General features: G+C 40.3%; 1 protein-coding gene across 1 annotated transcript in view; it reads right to left on the reverse strand.

Moving 5' to 3' along the window:
• Positions 1 to 19,089, reverse strand: part of CATSPERB (catsper channel auxiliary subunit beta) — a 151,389-nt gene continuing 132,300 nt past the window's right edge. The window contains exons 23-27 of the mRNA NM_024764.4: positions 11,195 to 11,305; positions 8,837 to 8,972; positions 7,281 to 7,381; positions 6,505 to 6,579; positions 1 to 410 (exon numbers count right to left, since the gene is read on the reverse strand). Coding sequence (NP_079040.2) covers positions 192 to 410; positions 6,505 to 6,579; positions 7,281 to 7,381; positions 8,837 to 8,972; positions 11,195 to 11,305 — 642 coding nt within the window. The 3' untranslated portion in view covers positions 1 to 191. The remainder of the gene's footprint in view (positions 411 to 6,504; positions 6,580 to 7,280; positions 7,382 to 8,836; positions 8,973 to 11,194; positions 11,306 to 19,089) is intronic.

The raw sequence follows: 19,089 nt of genomic DNA on the forward strand, positions 1-19,089 counted from the left end.
TGGCATAAGACATTTTCTATGTATTCAAAATAAGAAAAGGAAATGGTGAATATATTGACAAGTAGCAATTTGAATTATAATGACAATTCTTTAGGATTTTATGTAGCTTGCATATTTAACATTTAAATATATTGTTCTAGGAATTGGCTGATAAAACTAGAAAATAAAGAGAAATTATGATCACCATGTGTTCACTCTTCAGACTTTGATCTATGAATCAGCTCACTGAGAGAGATACTTGAAAACTTCTCTTGGTTTCTTCTAATCCATCTTTGGAATGTCCTCCACGGATGGATGCCTTGCAGTTGAAACATAAATGCTATAAAAATTAATCCCCCTAGCACTACCGCTGTTGCCACGGCAATAAGCGTGTGTCCTGGGAATGGCAATGGTGCCTCATCAACATAAATCTGCAACAGAAAAAGCAAAGTCTTTAAGCTTTCTGAATTTAGCAATGCAAAACACTGAAAATTTAATGTTCCCCACAATTAATCGGAGAGCAAAACGCTGCCCAGAGTTACAAAGACATTCAGCATCCACAAAGCTTGGAAACAGTCTCTTGACAGTTGAACAAGTAACAATTTGCCTACAATAAATAGGGGCTAAGAAGTCCATGTATTATCCTATGCCTTTACCCTGTCTTTAATGGTGGAAGGAGGCAGATAAAATGCTTATACAGCAGAACATTCTCTGTTCAGTCTCAGAGGAATGGGCAAAGAGCTCTGGGAATGTGGAGGAGGGAATGCCTACCTGCCTAGGGCAGTCAGGGAATGCGCTTTCTGAGCTGGATCATGACGAATAAGTAGGTTCACAGAAGAGAAGGAGATAAAGGAACATTCCAGGTAGAGGCATATGTCTGTGCTCTTTCAAGTTACCACCTCTTTAGAAAATCCTCTTTGTAGGTGCTGCCAGTATAGGTAACTTTTTATGTATTCAAAATGTTTCCTCTGCATGAATAGCTAATTAACAGAAGCAAGTAAATTTCTGGAGGACAGATAGGATTATTGACAGAGAGGGACAGTGATGTCTTTTTCTCTGAGATGTGAGGCAAGGGTGGGGTCATTGTATGTTAAATATAGAAGTGGGGCATAAAGAGAGTAGGGGGTTCAAGCCCAGGCTTATGTTTCCTTTGTGAAGCAGGAAGCCAGATCGTCTTTTGTGGGAGAAGAACGTGCTGATGAATGGAACTAGGACAGTAGGGAATGTGGGAAAGTGCAAAGGACAAGAAAAAGGATGACAGGCTGCTTTAAGGTCTAGCTCAAGTTAAAGGTACCACCATCCTCCCAGTGACCCAAGGAGGTAGCTGATTTCTTAGAAACAGTCCCTCCATGCTATACATTCTCTAAAATTCCCCTCACATTCATTCTTTCCATTCTTTCAGTACTGCTACTGTGATTATTGTGCCACTTTTCATAAATAGGCTACTCTAGTAGCCTCCTTCCCAGCCCACCAGTCCGTGTTGACATCCTAACATTGCCAGATTTATCTTTGTATAAAACACCAGTCTGTGTATAAACACCTTTTTCCAAAAATGTTTAATAGCTTTTCATTGTTGACAGGAATGTTGACAGGAATGTTGACAGGAGTGTTCTAAAGCTTTCACTCTGACATTCAAAGCCTTCCACAATTGGACCCTAACCTACCTGGCTTTCTTCTAAATAACCTTATATTCCAGCCAAATGGATTTGAGCTATTCAAAAAGCAAACTTTATGCTTTTGATTGTGACAGGAGGCAGTCAAATGCCTAGGCAGATAGGGGTGGGTCGCCGGTGAAACCTGACCTTCAAGCTGAAGGCAGTCCCAGGTAAATCCACATACCGAATTCAGAACCTGTCTTCCTGTTTGGCGTGCTTTCCTCTGACTGATCCCACCCTTCAACTGTTTTACATATACCTACCCTTCCTAATTGGTTTTCTACACTGCTGTGCCCACCTTTGAGTGGTACCTTTGCTTTAGCCTTTCTTTGCTTACTCATAAGCCAGTCAGCACACTCTCCCCTATTCTGAGTGCATAAAGGCCCCACTCAGCCACACTGGCAAAGAAACCACCTGACTGCAGGGGTGAGGGACCACACCCTACGTCCCCTGTCTGCTGAGAGCTGTTCCATCACTCAGTAAAATTATTCTTTGCCCTCCTCACTCTTCAATTGTTAGTGTTTCCTCATTATACTTGGATGCAGGACAGGAACATGGGTACACACTACAACATAGTTGGGACAAGTGGGCAGGGTGCCTCCAGTGGCAGGCTCAGGGCTGAGCAAGGCCCAGGTGGAGGATGTCACCAGCTGTGGAGGTCCCCGGTTGGCAAAGTGGCCAAGAAAAGTCCTGCATCACTTTCCCATATCTGTACCTGGTCTCTCCATCCAGAATGCCTTCCTTGTTCATTTCTGCCTAATGAAATTTCAGTCACTCCACCAGATGATGTAAAAATTTCACTTGTGGCTGGGCACGGTGGCTCATGCCTGTAATCCCAGCACTTTGGGAGGCCAAGGCGGGCAGATCACGAGGTCAGGAGATTGAGACCATCCTGGCTAACATGGTGAAACCCCATCTCTACCTAAAATACAAAAAATTTAGCCAGGCATGGTGGCGGGTGCCTGTAGTCCCCGCTACTCGGGAGGCTGAGGCAGGAGAATGGCATGTACCCGGGAGGCGGAACTTGCAGTGAGCCGAGATCGTGCCATGGCACTCCAGCCTGGGCAACAGAGCGTGACTCCATCTCAAAAAAAAAAATTTTCACTTGCTTATTTAAGCCATTTATTATATTTCTAAGATTAGAAACGTCTATCACCTCTGAATTCTGTATTCTCCACCTAAATTGCTACCTCTAAAGTTCTGAAAAACACTTTTTCTTCAAATGTTTCCCTTCTAATCTTCTTCAACCATCCAAATATTCCACACCATTTCTAAAAAACGTTAGACCTCAGAATTATGAGTCTGTTTTAGATACAATGTCTATTTACTCCTAAAATACTTTAATTTGTGTTTTTAAGCACAAAAATTCACTTAAATAACCACAGTGCAATGATCAAAGTCAAGAAATTAACATTAAGACAATACTATTCTGTAATTACAGATCTTACTCCTTTTTTTTTTCTTCAGTTATCCCCATAATGTATTTTGGGTGAAAGAAAATCCAAGCTTATGGGTTGTGTTTCATTGTTTCAGGATTCTCCTTTCTCCTCCCCTTTCTTTTCTTGACGGAGCTTCACTATGTTACCAGGCTGGAGTGCAGTGGTTATTCACTGGCATGTTAATACTGGACTGAGGCCTCAAACCCCTGGCCTCAGAGGATCCTCCCTCGGCCTCCCAAATAGCTGGGGTTACAGTCATGTGTCACCAGGTCTGGCTATTTCAGGGTACTTTCTTTTTTTTCCTTTTTTTTTGAGACAGAGTCTCACTCTGTCGCCCAGGCTGGATGAAGTGCAGTGGTGCGATCTTGGCTCACTGCAATCTCTGCCTCCTGGGTTCAAGCAATTCTCTTGCCTCAGCCTCCTGAGTAACTAGGATTACAGGCATGCACTACCACACCTGGCTGATTTTTGTATTTTTAGTAGAGATGATGTTTCACCATGTTGGCCAGGCTGGTCTCGAACTCCTGACCTCAAGTGATCTACCCATGTCGGCCTCCCAAAGTGCTGGGATTACAGGCATGAGCCACCATGCCCAGCCTATTTCAGGGTACTTTCAAAAGCAGGTTCCGACAGTCCCAAGAAGCTTTATACACTTTCTCTATATTTTCTTAACAATTCTTTTCCTTCATTAATGGTGCAGTCACACCTATCTTTTATCCATTTTTGTTCTTCCTCCATTCCTGAAGCTTCAAGGTTCCTGCTGTTATCACTTTTCTTCTGTTTGAATAACTTCTTTAAGCATTTTCAAAAGAGAAGTTCTCCTGACAATGGATTCTCTTAGTTTTCTCTCATTTGAGAAAGTCTTGATTTTTTATTCCTGAAAGATATTTTCAGTAGATAGAGAATTCTGGATTGACAATCCTTCCTCCCCACTCAACCCTCACCCCTAACACTTTAAAGATGTTGTATAACTTTCTTTTGCCTCTGTGGTTTCTGTTGAGAAATCAGCAGTCATTCAAACTGTACCCTTGTATATACAGTGTTGTTTTTCTCTGACCACTTTTAATATTTTATGATCTTGATTTTTGGTAGTTTGATTATGATGTGTTCAGGCATGGTTTTCTCTATCTTTATCTTGTTTAGGGCTCATTAAGCTTCTTGAATATGTAAACTTACGTCTTCACCAAACTTGAGGCTTTTCCGTCTTTATTTCTTTCCTTTCTTCTTCTTCTTCTTCTTTTTATTTTTATTTTTTATTTTTTTTGAGACAGGGTCTCATTCTGTCACCCAGACTGGAGTGCAGTGGCATGATCTCAGCTCACCTTAGCCTTGACCTCCCAGGCTGAAGCAACCCTCCCACCTTGGCCTCCAGAGTAGCTGGAACTACAGGTGTGTGCCTCCATGCCTGGCTAATTTTTTTGTATTTGTAGAGACAGGGCCTTGCCATGTTGCTCAGTTGGTCTTAAATTCCTGAGCTCAAGCGATCCACCCACCTTGGCCTCCCAAAGTGCTGGGATTTTTTTCCCCATACCAGTCTTTTTCTCCTCTCCTTCATGGACACTGATAACATAAATGTTAGACCTTCTGATACTGTCACACAGATCCCTGAGGCAAGATCTTCTTCTTCTTAAAATACTTTTTCTTCAGGTTGGGTTTCCACTGACTTGCTTTCAAGTTCACTGATTTTTTTCCTGTTCCATATCCATTCAGCAATTGAGTCCTTTTGGTAGTTTTTAAATTTAAATATTATAGTTTTTAGTTCTAAAATTTCCATTTTGTCCTTTTTAAGTAGCTTCTAGATCTCTGCTTATAATTGATCATTTTCTACTTATTTCAAAAGTGTTTACCTGTACTGCATGGAGCATGGTTATAATAGCTAGTTTAGAATATTTGATAATTGCATTTGTGGTCCTTTGTTGATGTCTTTTCTCTTCAGAATTGATTATATTGTCTTGGTTGTTGATATGGTGAATAATATCAGATTGTATCCTGGTGAATAATGGTGAGTAATATCAGATTGTATCCTGGTAAATATGGTGAATAATATCGGATTGCATCCTGGACATTTTTGATGTTATGTTGGGAGATTCTGGTTCTTGTTTAAAAGTCATCTGGAAAATGCTGATTATTTATTTGTTTGTTTTTAGCAGTCAATCACACTGGTTGAGTTCAGGTCACAAGTTATGCCTCACCTTCTGTGTGGGTGGTGGTTTCAATGTCAGTTCAGTTTTCCAAGCTGTTGCTATGCTATTTGTGTCTTCCTGGTTGGTACCTGTGCCACTCAGGAGCTGCTCTGAAACTAGAGGATGTTTACTTTGTAGTTTCATTTCAAAGGCTTTGCTGTTTTCTTCAGGTGTGCCCTGGTCATATGCAGCTTCTTCCTGGTGCTAGTTTACATAAAGAATCAGGACTCCCTTTCTCCAGCCCTCTTCTCATAGAGATGTCCCCCCATGCTTTCCACTCTTAGAGGTCCTTTCCCTTGTTCTCTGGAAAGAAAGTGGAGCTTCTATGAGAATTTTAGCCCTCTGTGCTATTGTGCTGTTCCCCACAACCAGGGCTGCTCTTGGGCCAAAGAGATGAGAAAAGAGAGAAAAAAATAACAAGGATTTTCCTTCACACTCCTCATGTGACAGATGCTTCTTTTCCTAGTTTCTTTATCTAGTGGGTTGAATTTTTCTCTCAGGGTTTTAGAGGTTTGCACTGCTGCAATGGCCACCCACCACTGTAGTAGTGCAGAGCCATTATTGGAGCTGGCCTTAGAGCTGGGCCGGAACAGGAGAGAGAGAGAGAGAGAGAGAGAAAGAGAGAGAGAGAGAGAGAGAGACAGAATGTTAATGTAACATCAGCATTTGACAATGACTCATTAATTGATTTTTATCAAATCCTTATTTCTTCCCATGCCTCACAGGCAGCACATGTCATTATATGAATAAGCAAAAATGAGTTGTTGCTTTCATGGGATGATTTGGGAAAGACTGATTCTGGTTTTCAATTCCTTTGGATCTTGAAAGCCTTTGAAATATTTAAGACAATGATTACAGTTCAAACAGCCAAAAGGAGGATAATCAGACTAGAAACTAAAAAGTTACAGAAATATGTTCTTTGGAGAAGTAGAGGTGAGAGGAAGAGCATTAAAAGTCAGAAAACTGGGCTCAACAAGGAAGGTGGAGAAGGAACAAAAACAAAGACAGCCACGTATTATTACATGTATTATTAAAATTCTGGCAGCATCAATCAGTCCTGGCACCCATGATGCACCCTGGCTTTGTCACTACTGACAGGGTCAATGCTACCCTTCAGGATCCCCTGTCTTTAAGCCTTGTCCATCACACAAATTCTGCCAATTTTTTCTCTTCGGTGTCTCTTGAATTGGTTTTGTCATGTTTTTTCCCCAGCCATCACCCCTCTGATGCCAAGTGCATCCATTTTACCTGAAATTCTTCAATTAAGTTACAAAAAGTTACTCCTGAAATGACGGTCACTCTAAAGTGGAAAAGTTCAGAGCCCTGTGGAAAAAAGCACACCCAGTTGTTAGCAGCATCAACATGTACATTCCTTTAAGTATTAATAAAAATATACCCTGGGGCCACTGTCCCTATAGATGCTGCATGAAAAGATTCCCATCCTCTTCCTAAGGCTCTCGGACATACACATCATGCATCAAAATAAAAAGATGGATTGAAGTGGAGGGATTCAATAGCTGATACTTTTTTTTTTTTTTTTTTTTTTTTTTTTAGAATGAGGAGACAAAAACTAAAAACTAAACCTGGCCTTGATAAATACTTTGGGCTAATCCTCGTATTTGTGGCTTCAAGATGTTCCCTAATTCTGATTGGTTTTCACAATTATCTGTATTATACCAACTTCATGTATTTTTATGGGCAGCTGGAACCAGAAGATGTGCTCGTCCATATCCAGGTGAATAATACTGAGCCCATTTCTTCCCTTTCACTTTCGGAAACACTCTTTCTTCTCCACTTTGCTAGATAATATGGCTTGCCTATCTGCTCAAAACTTTGGAAATAATAACACCAAGGGAAATGGAGAAAAAAATAAACCCTCTTCATATACTTTAAAGGTATATACTTTAAAGATGTTATTCCCACCATTCCTGGTTACCTATACTTTAGAATTAAAACCAATCTTAGTTTAGACATACATGTTTTATCTAAACTCAACACAGTAAAAACAACAATGCCATCATTACCTTTATGCTTAAGTTGAGACCTGAAGGATTATACACTGCAGCACCAAGAATTGGTTCTACTAATTGTTTCATTCTTTTAATATTTTCTGGCACAGTGTGTTCTAAAAATACATAAAACATATTTTAAGCACACTTATTTTTCTCATTTTGTATTAGGTTGGTGCAAAAGTAATTGCTGTTTTTGCCATTACTTTTAATTTACTATTACTATTTCATTTGCAATTACTAATATAAAATTTGTCATGCACATTAAGGTACAATGAAAGATTTCACTCCATAACATGACCAAGTTATCCCATACTTTTAGTTCTGCTTGACTTTGTAGACGATGTATTTAGGGGAGTTAGGCCCAATATCTCACATTGCCTTCAAGGGCATCCTCAAGAAGTTCAAGACTTCTGATCAGCTTCATGCTGACCTTTTCCTTCCAGCCCCATGCTCAGGATCAGTCCTGACCTGCACGTGCTTCGTGTTTTTGGCAGTAAGGTCATCTCAGGACCTCCTTAGTGATAGGTAAACGATTTATAATAAGGTGGCAGTAAAGTTTTACAATGAGATTACTTGACTATTTTCCTGCCTTTCTTGTCATCCTTTCTAAAACTAGATAGCTAGTGTAGGGGTTAGACGTTGCAGTGGTATAAAGGTACACAGAATCTAAAGGAAAAGAAACAGCTGTGATTGTAATTTCCAATTTCCATAGTGTAAATACTCTCACCCTGACTAATTTCAAGCTACAAATGGTTTAACATCTAGCTTGTAAAATGTTTAAATGTTTAATGATCAGGACTCTAAAACTGGTAAGAACAGTTTCCAGCATACCACAGAAAATGGGGATGTCAGTTAATGCAAAATATTTAGTAGCTTTATTTTGCTGGATTTTTCATTTCAAAAATGCATATATGTTGGCCAGAGTAAGACTCACTGAATACCAAGTGCCTGGATATTTAGTAACATATTAATGGCTGACCAAAATTTCTGTTTAGTTAATTATTTCTATCTACCTACATATCTCCTTAGAGTATTCATACGTGAACACAAAATGTGCAACAAAAAGTTACATATCTGAGGTAAAGTGAATAGGGGTAAACATCTTATTTAAACTATTTCTGCATCTTTTCAATTATTTTACCATAAAACCTTTAAGAAACCTTTAAGAAACTCGTATAATTAGAAGACAGATCCTAAAGATTATCTGGCCCCACCTTTTACAACCTCCTCTGTCACACTGAATGGGCAGAGAAAGGAGATGCCAGACCACCATGCAGCACAAATTCAGTCAGTCATTGTTGTTATTGATCCACAAAATGACCTTCAATTTTTTTGCAGTGTAAATTATTCAAAAATGCTTTTACCCTAGAATCCAGGCCACTGGGAGTGATGATGAAATAAGTAGGAAACAATAGAAGTAAACAGCAATATGCCAACTGATCCAAATCCATTTGCAAGAACTCCTGGCTCTCTTTTGTGTGAACAGGCTTTGAAAACCATTGATCTTTGTAAACCAGTAACAATATTACTTATCAGATAAAATAATTACAGATGAAAGCAAACCCTACTCAGTTTCCAGTTGTGCCTCATGTTCACTTCAGTCACAGTAACCAGATATGGAGATTGCAATGGGACACGTCCATCCTCGTTGATAATTTCCAAAGAAACTGGATATTGTGTAATTGGAAACTTAAAGCGAGGAACCTAAAATACAAATTCCAAGAATGAATGTAAACTTGGGAAAGTCAATAGTCACTTCATTTCCTGGTAAAAAACGAAAAGATATATTGCCAATAGTTTGGCTGTTCAATGACATGTGCTCCTGAGGGGTTTCTGCCTTTTCAGTCATGAAAATGTCTTAGAGCAGAATCAATGTGAACTCCAAAGGCAGTATATACATTGTGGTAACAAAACTCATCACTTCTATAGGCCCTTTTCACAGGAATTTACTATGATGTCACTCAAACTTTTTTTGGCTAAATCATATCCCAGGAGGCTGTGCATAGATTGCTCACCCTCCTTTTGCCACTCTTTCAGCCAGTCAGTCTTGCGGGCACAATCTGTAAACTTGGGCTCTGGCGTCAGAACTCAAAGCCAGCCCCAATGCATGTTAATAATGCGATCTTTGACAAATTGCCTGACTTCTCTGTGGCTCGAATTAAATGAGATAAATCACGGAGAAGGCTTAGAGTAGCATTTAGTAGATAGTAAGTGCTCATGAAACATTATTTTGGTTCAGCAAGGGGGTATATAAAAACAGCCCTCATAATTTACAGAATGCTGGCTAGACACAATGGCTCACGCTTATAAATCCCAGCACTTTGGGAGGTGGAGGCAGGTGGATCACTTGAGGTCAGGAGTTTGAGACCAGTATGGCCAACATGGTGAAACCCCATCTCTACTGAAAATACAAAAATTAGCTGGGCATAGTGGTGGGCACCTATAGTCCCAGCTACTTGAGAGGCTGAGGCAGGAGAATCACTTAAATCCAGGAGGCGGAGGTTGCGGTGAGCTGAGATGATGCCATTACACTCCGACCTGGGCGACAGAGCGAGACTTGGTCTCAAAAAAAGTAAAAACGAAAATAAAATAATAATAATTTACAGAATGCTGACTCTACACCAACATATTGTGTATATACATATATAATATCATATATAGTCTCTAGATGTCTTTTTTTGTTTGTTTGTTTTGTTTTGTTTTTTGAGATAGAGTCTTGCTCTGTCGCCCAGGCTAGAGTGCAGTGACTATCTCAGCTCACTGCAAGCTCCACCTCCCAGGTTCAAGCCATTCTCCTGCCTTAGCCTCCCCAGTAGCTGGGACTACAGGCGCCCACCACCACGCCCGGCTAATTTTTTTGTATTTTTAGTAGAGACAGGGTTTCACCGTGTTAGCCAGGATGGTCTCAATCTCCTGACCTCATGATCCGCCCGCCTCGGCCTCCCAAAGTGCTGGAATTACAGGCGTGAGCCACCGAGCCCGGCCTCTAGATGTCTTACATATGTATAGTCTGTGTAATAACAGTTTCTCAATATACAGTGTCACAAGGACTTTGAAATTGATCTGTTTGAAAGATATACCAACTGCATATTTGTTTTTTTCTTTTTTTTGAGATGGAATCTTGCTCTGTCATCCAGGCTGGAGTGCAGTGGTGCGATCTCTGCTTACTGCAACCTCTGCCTCCCAGGTTTAAGCAATGCTGTCTCAGCCTCCTGAGTAGCTGGGACTACAGGTGCAAGCCACCATGCCCGGCTGATTTTTGTATTTTTAGTAGAGATTGGGTTTCACCATATTGGTCAGACTGGTTTCGAACTCCTGACCTCAGGTGATCCACCGGCGTTGGCCTCCCAAAGTGCTGGGATTACAGGTGTGAGCCACCACACCCGGCCCCAACTGCGTATTTGACTCTTCTAATGCAAATTTTGATACTAACAGAATAAAACATTATTTGACACAGAAGCCTTCTCTTAACCAACATATTACACCGTCTTTCATTTGTGACTGTCAGCAGGCTGAGCTTGATTACAATGACTTTGCCTTCTATATTCCAAGAACCTGATACTAGATACTCAAAGTTATTTTAAATGAATCAATATTTACCATAACCTGGTATATGTTTTACAGACTACAAGTTGCTTTCGTATACACAGGGGTGTGTGTGGGTGTGGGTGTGTGTGCGTCTTTATACAAATGCTGTGGAATGGACAAGGTAGTGCAGGTATTATTGTTTTATTTTACCGATGAGGTTCATTAACTTGCAAGGTACATTTAAATCTGGATCTTTCTAGCTCGGTGTCATATTTAGCTCTGCATCATAATAAGACATTATTTCTATGTCTTAGTTTTCATGTTTAACCTAAAGGCACATTTCAAAATCTTGTTAATAAGAAAGTATCCTGTATTCAGGTAATTAGAAATGATCTTACTTTTTCCCTGCAATCCGAGAAAGCAACAGCATGTGAAAACTTCTGATCCTTTGTGCAGTTACACTCCTCCCGAGTGGAAACATTAGCACACTGTTTGAATTTACCGGTTTTCTGCAAATAGAAGTAACAGATGTTGACTTGTTTTTCTGCGTTGCGGGATTTCTGCAAACTGATAAATATCTAATAAATATTTATTCCCTGAAGAAGTGGAATTCCTGAGAAGTTAAAAGGGGAAAGCAATTCATTAATAATAAAGTAAGAATAGAAGTACAGTATTTCTGAATTTTAGTTGCCCCCTTGCTTGGTAATTTGAACCCAAGTATTACTCAGCCGCTTGCCGTTCACCTCGTGCAGTTGCATGGGACCTAGAAAGCCTGTGTCATTCTGAATTCTGCATCCCAGGACTACCAAACTAACTGCTCTTGGCCCCTGCCAGTGCAGGGATCCAGACGGAAACATAAAATGAGTGGCCTTGATAATGTGGGGCTGCACACTCTCCAAACCTACTATTTCATACTTGTCTTTCTTCATAGCATATGTTGATATTTTAAATCTCCACTATATCTGCCCATTTGTCATTCATTTATACTTGATCTCTCTTGCCATTCATTTATTTTATTATTATTATTTTTAGAGATAGTGTCTTGCTGTGTTGCCCAGGCTTTAGTGCAGGGGCTCAATCATAGCTCACTGCAGTCTTGAACTCCTGGACTCAAGCAATCCTCCCATCTCATCCTCCCTAGTATTATAGTTGGGACTACAGGCACACACCACCACACTTGGCTGATTGAAAAAAAAATTTTTTGGTAGAGAGTCTATCCTGACTATGCAATAGAAAAGAAAAACCCATTTTCTGGGGAGAAATTCAAGCCAGTTGCAGAAATTTGCAAGTAGCAAGGAGCCTACTGTTAATCCTCAAGACTATGGTGAAAATGTCTCCAGACCATGTCAGAGACCTTCATGGCAGCCCCTCCCATCAAAGGCCCAGAGGCCCAGGAGGAAAAAGTGGTTTTGTTGGCCGGGCACAGGGTCCCCATGCTGTGTGTAGCTTAGGGACTTGGTGCCCTGTGTCCCAGCTGCTCCAGCTGTGGCTGAAAGGGGCCAACGCACAGCTCAGGGTGTGGCTTCAGAGGGTGGAGGTCCCAAGCCTTGACAGCTTCCACGTGGTGTTGAGCCTGTGGGTGCACAGAAGTCAAGAACTGAGGTTTGGGAACCTCTGCCTAGATTTCAGATGTATGGAAACACCTGGATGCCCAGGCAAAAGTTTTCTGCAGGGGTGGGGCCTTTATGGAGAACCTCTGCTAGGGCAGTGCAGAAGGGAAATGTGGGGTGGGAGCTCCCACACAGAGTCCCTACTGGGGCACTGCCTAGTGGAGCTGTGAGAAGAGGGCCACTGTCCTCCAGACCCCAGAATGGTAAATCCACTGACAGCTTGCACCTGGTGCCTGGAAAAGCTGCAGACACTCAACATCAGCCCGTGAAAGCAGCCAGGATGGAGGCTGTACCCTGCAAAGCCACAGGGGTGGAGCTGCCCAAAACCATGAGAACCCACCTCTTGCATCAGCATGACCTGGAGTCAAAGGAGATCATTTTAGAGTTTTAAAATTTGACTGCCCTGCTGGATTTTGGACCTGCATGGATCCTATAACCCCTTGGTTTTGGCAAATTTCTCCCATTTGGAATGGCTGTATTTACCCAATACCTGTAACCCTATTGTATCTAGGAAGTAACTAGCTTCTTTTTTATTTTACAGGCTCATAGGTGGAAGGGACTTGCCTTGTCTCACATGAGACTTTGTAATGTGGACTTTTGGGTTAATGCTGAAATGAGTTAAGACTTTAGGGAAGTGTTGGGAAGGGATGATTGGTTTTAAAATGTGAGGACATGAGATCTGGAGGGGCCAGGGGCAGAATGATATGGTTTGGCTGTGTTCCCATTCAAATCTCAACTTGAATTGCATCTTCCAGAATTCCCGCATGTTGTGGAAGGGACCCAGGGGGAAGTCATTGAATCATGGGCGCTGCTGGTCTTTCCCATGCTATTCTCATGATAGTGAATAAGTCTCACAAGATCTGATGGGCTTATCAGGAGTTTCCACTTTTGCTTTCTCCTCATTTTCTCTTGCTGCTGCCATGTAAGAAGTGCCTTTTGCATTATTCACAATAGCAAAGGCTTGGAACCAACCTAAATGTCCAACAGCGATAGACTGGATTAAGAAAATGTGGCACATATATACCATGGAATACTATGCAGCCATAAAAAATGATGAGTTCAGGTCCTTTGCAGGGACATGGATGAAACTGGAAACCATCATTCTCAGCAAACTATCACAAGGACAAAAAACCAAACACCGCATGTTCTCACTCAAAGGTGGGAATTGAACAATGAGAACACATGGACACAGGAAGGGGAACATCACACACCAGGGACTGTTGTGGGGTGGGGGGATGGGGGAGGGATAGCATTAGGAGATATACCTAATGCTAAATGACGAGTTAATGGGTGCAGCACACCAACATGGCACATGTATACATATGTGACAAACCTGCACGTTGTGCACATGTACCCTAAAACTTAAAGTATAATAATAATAAAAGAAAAAAAAAAAAAGAAGTGCCTTTTGAACTCTGCCATGATTCTGAGGCCTCCCCAGCCATGTGGAACTGTAAGTCCAATTAAACCTCTTTCTTTTGTAAATTGTAAATTCTTTTGTAAATTGCCCAGTCTTGGGTATGTCTTTATCAGCAGTGTAAAAATGGACTAATACAATGGGGAGGTCCCAAAAGCTCATTTTTAGCAGGTTGTGAAACCTCATGTCTTGTGAAGAGAAAATAGAGGGGAGGAAGGGAGAAAAAATAAAAAATTAAAAAAAGAACAGTCCTGGAAAAATCAATATAGGCCACATTACTCTGAAGTCCATATATTAGTAGGCAGGTATGAAAGTGGCTTATGTATGTAAATAGGTTGTAGTTATTTTCTCCTGAAGTTTAAGTTGTCTGGCTTCAGTTTGCAGGGTTTTAAGAAAGCACAGCTTAGTTTTCAGTGACTCCAAATAAAGACAAAAGGGGGTAAAAAGGAAGGAAAAAAATTGAAAAAATTATTTTGAAGACTTGTAGTCAAGAAAAATTAGAATTCAGTCCAAACTATAGAAAAACACAAAAATTGAAAAAAATATTAGGCAAGACTAGGATCTAACAACAGGTCTACTGTAGTTCTGAAACATAATTTTTCTCTCTCCAGTTTCCCATTTTTACTAAAGACAAATCACGGTATGACTGGTATGCTTTATTATACTTGGCCTAATATTCGTATACAGTGTAGAAGAAAAATTATTTTTTACATAGGCTTTTAAATTGACTTTGATAGAACTTTGTTCTATAGGAGGAATCTCAGATAAGGTTTATTTATTTATTTATTTATTTATTTTTAATTTATTTATTTTTATTTTAATTCTTTTAGTAGAGATGGGGTTTTACCGTGTTAGCCAGGATGGTCTCAATCTCCTGACCTCGTGGTCTGCCCATCTCGGCCTCCCAAGGTGCTGGGATTACAGGCATGAGCCACCGCACCCAGCCCAGATAAGACTTTTTTAAAGCCGAGCCCAACCATGGATTTGTGCCGTCAAATATCTATGAGTTGTGTGAATTTCCTCTCCTCTTGAGGATCCAAGATAAACCTGGGGCTTCTGTGCCTGTCAGAAAATGGCATTCTTTACTAAGCACAGGTCAGAAACCCTGTACAGGGACTGTGTACACAAAATATGAGGCCAGTTTCCCAAGGGCTTTATTGGCTCCATAAGTCAAGTTTGCTTCCTTAAAGAAAAGCACATCATTCCAGTCAAAGCCTTGGTAAAATAACCAATTCCTCCAATTGTGTCCTATTGCAAAAGAAAACAGATTCTTACTGCACTTATGCAAATAACTATATTGCTATAAATTAAGAATAGTCACAAATAGTTTCCAAATTCTAGAGAAATCAGGTAGAGGGAAACAAATAGGTTCCAAATTTTGTTCACAGGGGTATACTTTACTCAATTATTAAAAGCTGTAAATAGCTTAAAAGAATTGTTTTCTTAACTCTGAAAAACAAAACAAAGTATCAGCAACATTTTAAGCAAAAAGTCAAAAAGATTACTTCCGTTTTCTATTGGTTCAGTTAATTCAGTTAACTCCTATTCTGCTTGATAGTCATGAACATTTCAGCTCTCCATGAGAGTTCTGAAAGTTCCTTTATTCCAATGTCACAATTTCCAAAGTTATCAGAAAACCTGCATTTAAGTGCATCTGTTAGAGTCTGATAGCTAATTATAAATCCACCCCCCTTTTTTTTTGAGACAGAGTCTTACTCTGTCACCCAGGCTGGAGTGCAGTGGCACAATCTCGGCTCACTACAAGCTCCGCCTCCCGGGTTCACGCCATTCTCCTTCCTCAGCCTCCTGAGTAGCTGGGACTACAGGCGCCTGCCACCACGCCCGGCTAATTTTTTGTATTTTTAGTAGAGATGGGGTTTCACCTTGTTAGCCAGGATGGTCTCAATCTCCTGACCTTGTGATCCGCCCACCTTGGCCTCCCAAAGTGCTGGGATTACAGGCGTGAACCACCACACCTGGCCTATAAATCCACCTTTTAAAGAGCATTTAAAACAAGGCAAAACAAGACAATTGTCTGTGGATGAAAAAAAGTTTTAAGGTAGCCATAGTTAAAAGACACAATTGACAAGGAAATTTGTTACCTCTGTGGCACAGGATAATTTTAACATAACAATTATGATTATTACTGATAATGTACACTAAGTTATATCAGAATTACAGGAGTTTCCTATACATTTGGAACAAAGTTAGCTATGTATACAAATATAGCCCAAAGAAAACCAAACACCATTTCATATTTGACAATGCTTCCTGTATAATTTTTACACCAAAATAAGCCAAGTTATGTCATTTTTGGACTTAAGGAACCTAATGTCTTAAAGGACTAATTAGGTTAGAAAAAGACATAATTTTTTTTTTTTTTTGAGACAGAGTCTCGCACTGTCACCCAGGCTGGAGTGCAGTGACGCCATCTCGGCTCACTGCAAGCTCCACCTCCTGGGTTCACTCCATTCTCCTGCCTCAGCCTCCTGAGTAGCTGGGACTACAGGCACCCACCACCACGCCCAGCTAATTTTTTTTTTTTTGTATTTTTAGTAGAGACAGTGTTTCACCGTGTCAGCCAGGATGGTCTCGATCTGACCTCGTGATCTGCCTGCCTCAGCCTCCCAAAGTGCTGGGATTACAGGCGTGAACCACAGCGCCTGGCCAAAAAGATATAATTTATAATTTGATTTTGGAAAGTTTGTCAAATATAAAAGCTTTAAAACACTTGATATTACAAAATAGGATTACAGGTCATTGTAAAGTCATTTATTTAACCAAAGTGATAATTCCAGCATTCCAAAAAAAGTGAAAACCTTCATTATTTGAGTTGAGACTTAATTTTCTAAACAAGAAACCCTAAGAAAAACAGCCCGAAGCCAATTACATTTGTTTTTCAAAATTTTGTAAACAATCTATAAAATTTAATCTTGATTATAAAATATAACTTCCATAAGCCTTTTATAACCTTTATTAAGAAGTTCTTTAATGCTTCAAGAAAACCTTGTTAATCTGACATAGGGATCCATATACTGGTTTTGCATCAGTGTGCCTTTGACATTAATAATTAATTTATAGAGAAACTGAACTTATTTTATCTTTCAAAATTGGCCCTCACAATCTCATGTGCCCACCTCTTCTGCGATAGTCCCCGGGCCTTGAGGAGTTGAATGGCTTTAATTTCTTGCCCTGTGTCTCAGGAATGCAGTTTGTTTTAATTGGCATCTTCTATGGGGCCTGAAGATGAGGCTTTAATTGCTGTCAGTGTTTAAGATTTAGCAGGACTTGGTGTCCTTTTTAGACCCAGGAGTTAAAGCCCTGTAACTCAATGTTACAAGCACTTTAAAAGCACATACAGGAAGATAAATGGATGCAATAACATTAAAACATTTTTTATCTCAGTTTTTTTCCCTAAGCAAACCAAAATTTAATAATAATATGACAACTTGATTATATAAAAGTTTTTGTTTTTTTTTTTAAATATATAAATCCTCTTATTGTGACTTACACTGACTATTCATGACATGGCCAGACTTTCTGATTTGTTCTGAAATTCCCTCCTTTTTAAACAACCAGTTATTTTATTTTAGGACTAAATTTACCACAGAAGATTCTTTCTTATATAAAATTATTTCTTTTTAAGCTTTTTTACCTAAAAATAAAACCTCTTTATTTTTATAACTTTTTTTACATCTTTTTTTATTCCTGGCTCCTTTTACCTTGTTTTATATATAACCTTTAAATAAGCTTTGAATTAGACAAAACTTGTTCACTTTTTTTTTAAAAGGACACATTTTTCTTTCTTTAGCAAGAATGTTTTTCTACAATATATATTTATTGGAAAATACTCAATGAGATATCTATTATTTAATTTAATATAACTTTATATCCTAAATTATGACCAGTTTGTCTACAAGTATTTATCCCATTACATTTACCTAATTGTTTTAATTATTTACCTAGATTATTTATGAAAACTGTGATAGTCATGATTTAAAGTTATGAAACTGCCATTGCAGCATTATAACTGAGACTGTCAGAAAAGATTTGACTGGCCGGGCGTGGTGGCTCACACCTGTAATCCCGGCACTTTGGGAGGCCAAGGCAGGTGGATCACAAGGTCAGGAGATCAAGACCATCCTGGCTAACATGGTGAAACCCCATCTCTACTAAAAATACAAAAAATTAGCCAGGCGTGGTGGCAGGCGCTTGTAGTCCCAGCTACTTGGGAGGCTGAGGCAGGGGAATGGCGTGAACCTGGGAGGTGGAGCTTGCAGTGAGCCGAGATCGCACCACTGCACTCCAGCCTGGGCAACAGAGCAAGACTCTGTCTCAAAAAAAAAAAAAAAAAAAGGAAAAAGATTTGACCTAACTGATTCCATACTGCTCTTAACCTGTAAGCTGTCCTTGTTCATTCCTGGGCATAGGATGAACTAACTTTGGAAGGAACTTGGTTTATAGTTTAGCTTTTAAACAAAGATAACAGTCCTTTCCCAAAACAAACCTCCTTATTGTCTGTGTATCAGACTGACCAAATTTTGGGATATCAGGGATTCATTGGAGGGGTGCTCTCAGACCTCAGCAAATTGTCGTATTGGTTTGATCCATAAAGTTAGCTCATGCTGGTACCAGGCACTGATAAGAGATTTGTCAAAGGTCAGGGGCATCTCCATTCAGAACCCCTTCGTGGTTACCAAAATGTGAACCTAGAAAATCTGAGACAGGTCTCAGTTAATTTAGAAAGTTTACTTTGCCGGCCGGGCACGATGGCTCACGCTGTAATCCCAGCACTTTGGGAGGCCGAGGCGGGCGGATCACGAAGTCAGGAGATTGAGACCATCCTGGCTAACGCGGTGAAACCCCGTCTCTACTAAAAATACAAAAAATTAGCTGGGTGTGGTGGCGGGCGCCTGTAGTCCCAGCTACTTGGGAGGCTGAGGCAGGAGAATGGCGTGAACCTGGGAAGCGGAGCTTGCAGTGAGCTGAGATTGTGCCACTGCACTCCAGCCTGGGCGGCAGAGCAAAAAAAAAAAAAAAGAAAGTTTATTTTTATTTTGCCAGGGTTGAGGATGCACCCGTGACACAGCCGCAGGAAGTCCTGACAACATCTGCCCAAGGTGGTCAGGGCAAAGCTTGGTTTTATACGTTTAGGGAGACATGAGACGTCAATCAATATATATAAGAAGTACATTGGTTCAGTCTGGAAGGGGAGGACAACTTGAAGCAAAGGCACCAAGACTCAAGTGGGGAGGGAGCTTCCAGG

This window comes from Homo sapiens, chromosome 14, assembly GCF_000001405.40.
Source record: "Homo sapiens chromosome 14, GRCh38.p14 Primary Assembly".
NCBI classification, from domain to species: domain Eukaryota; kingdom Metazoa; phylum Chordata; class Mammalia; order Primates; family Hominidae; genus Homo; species Homo sapiens.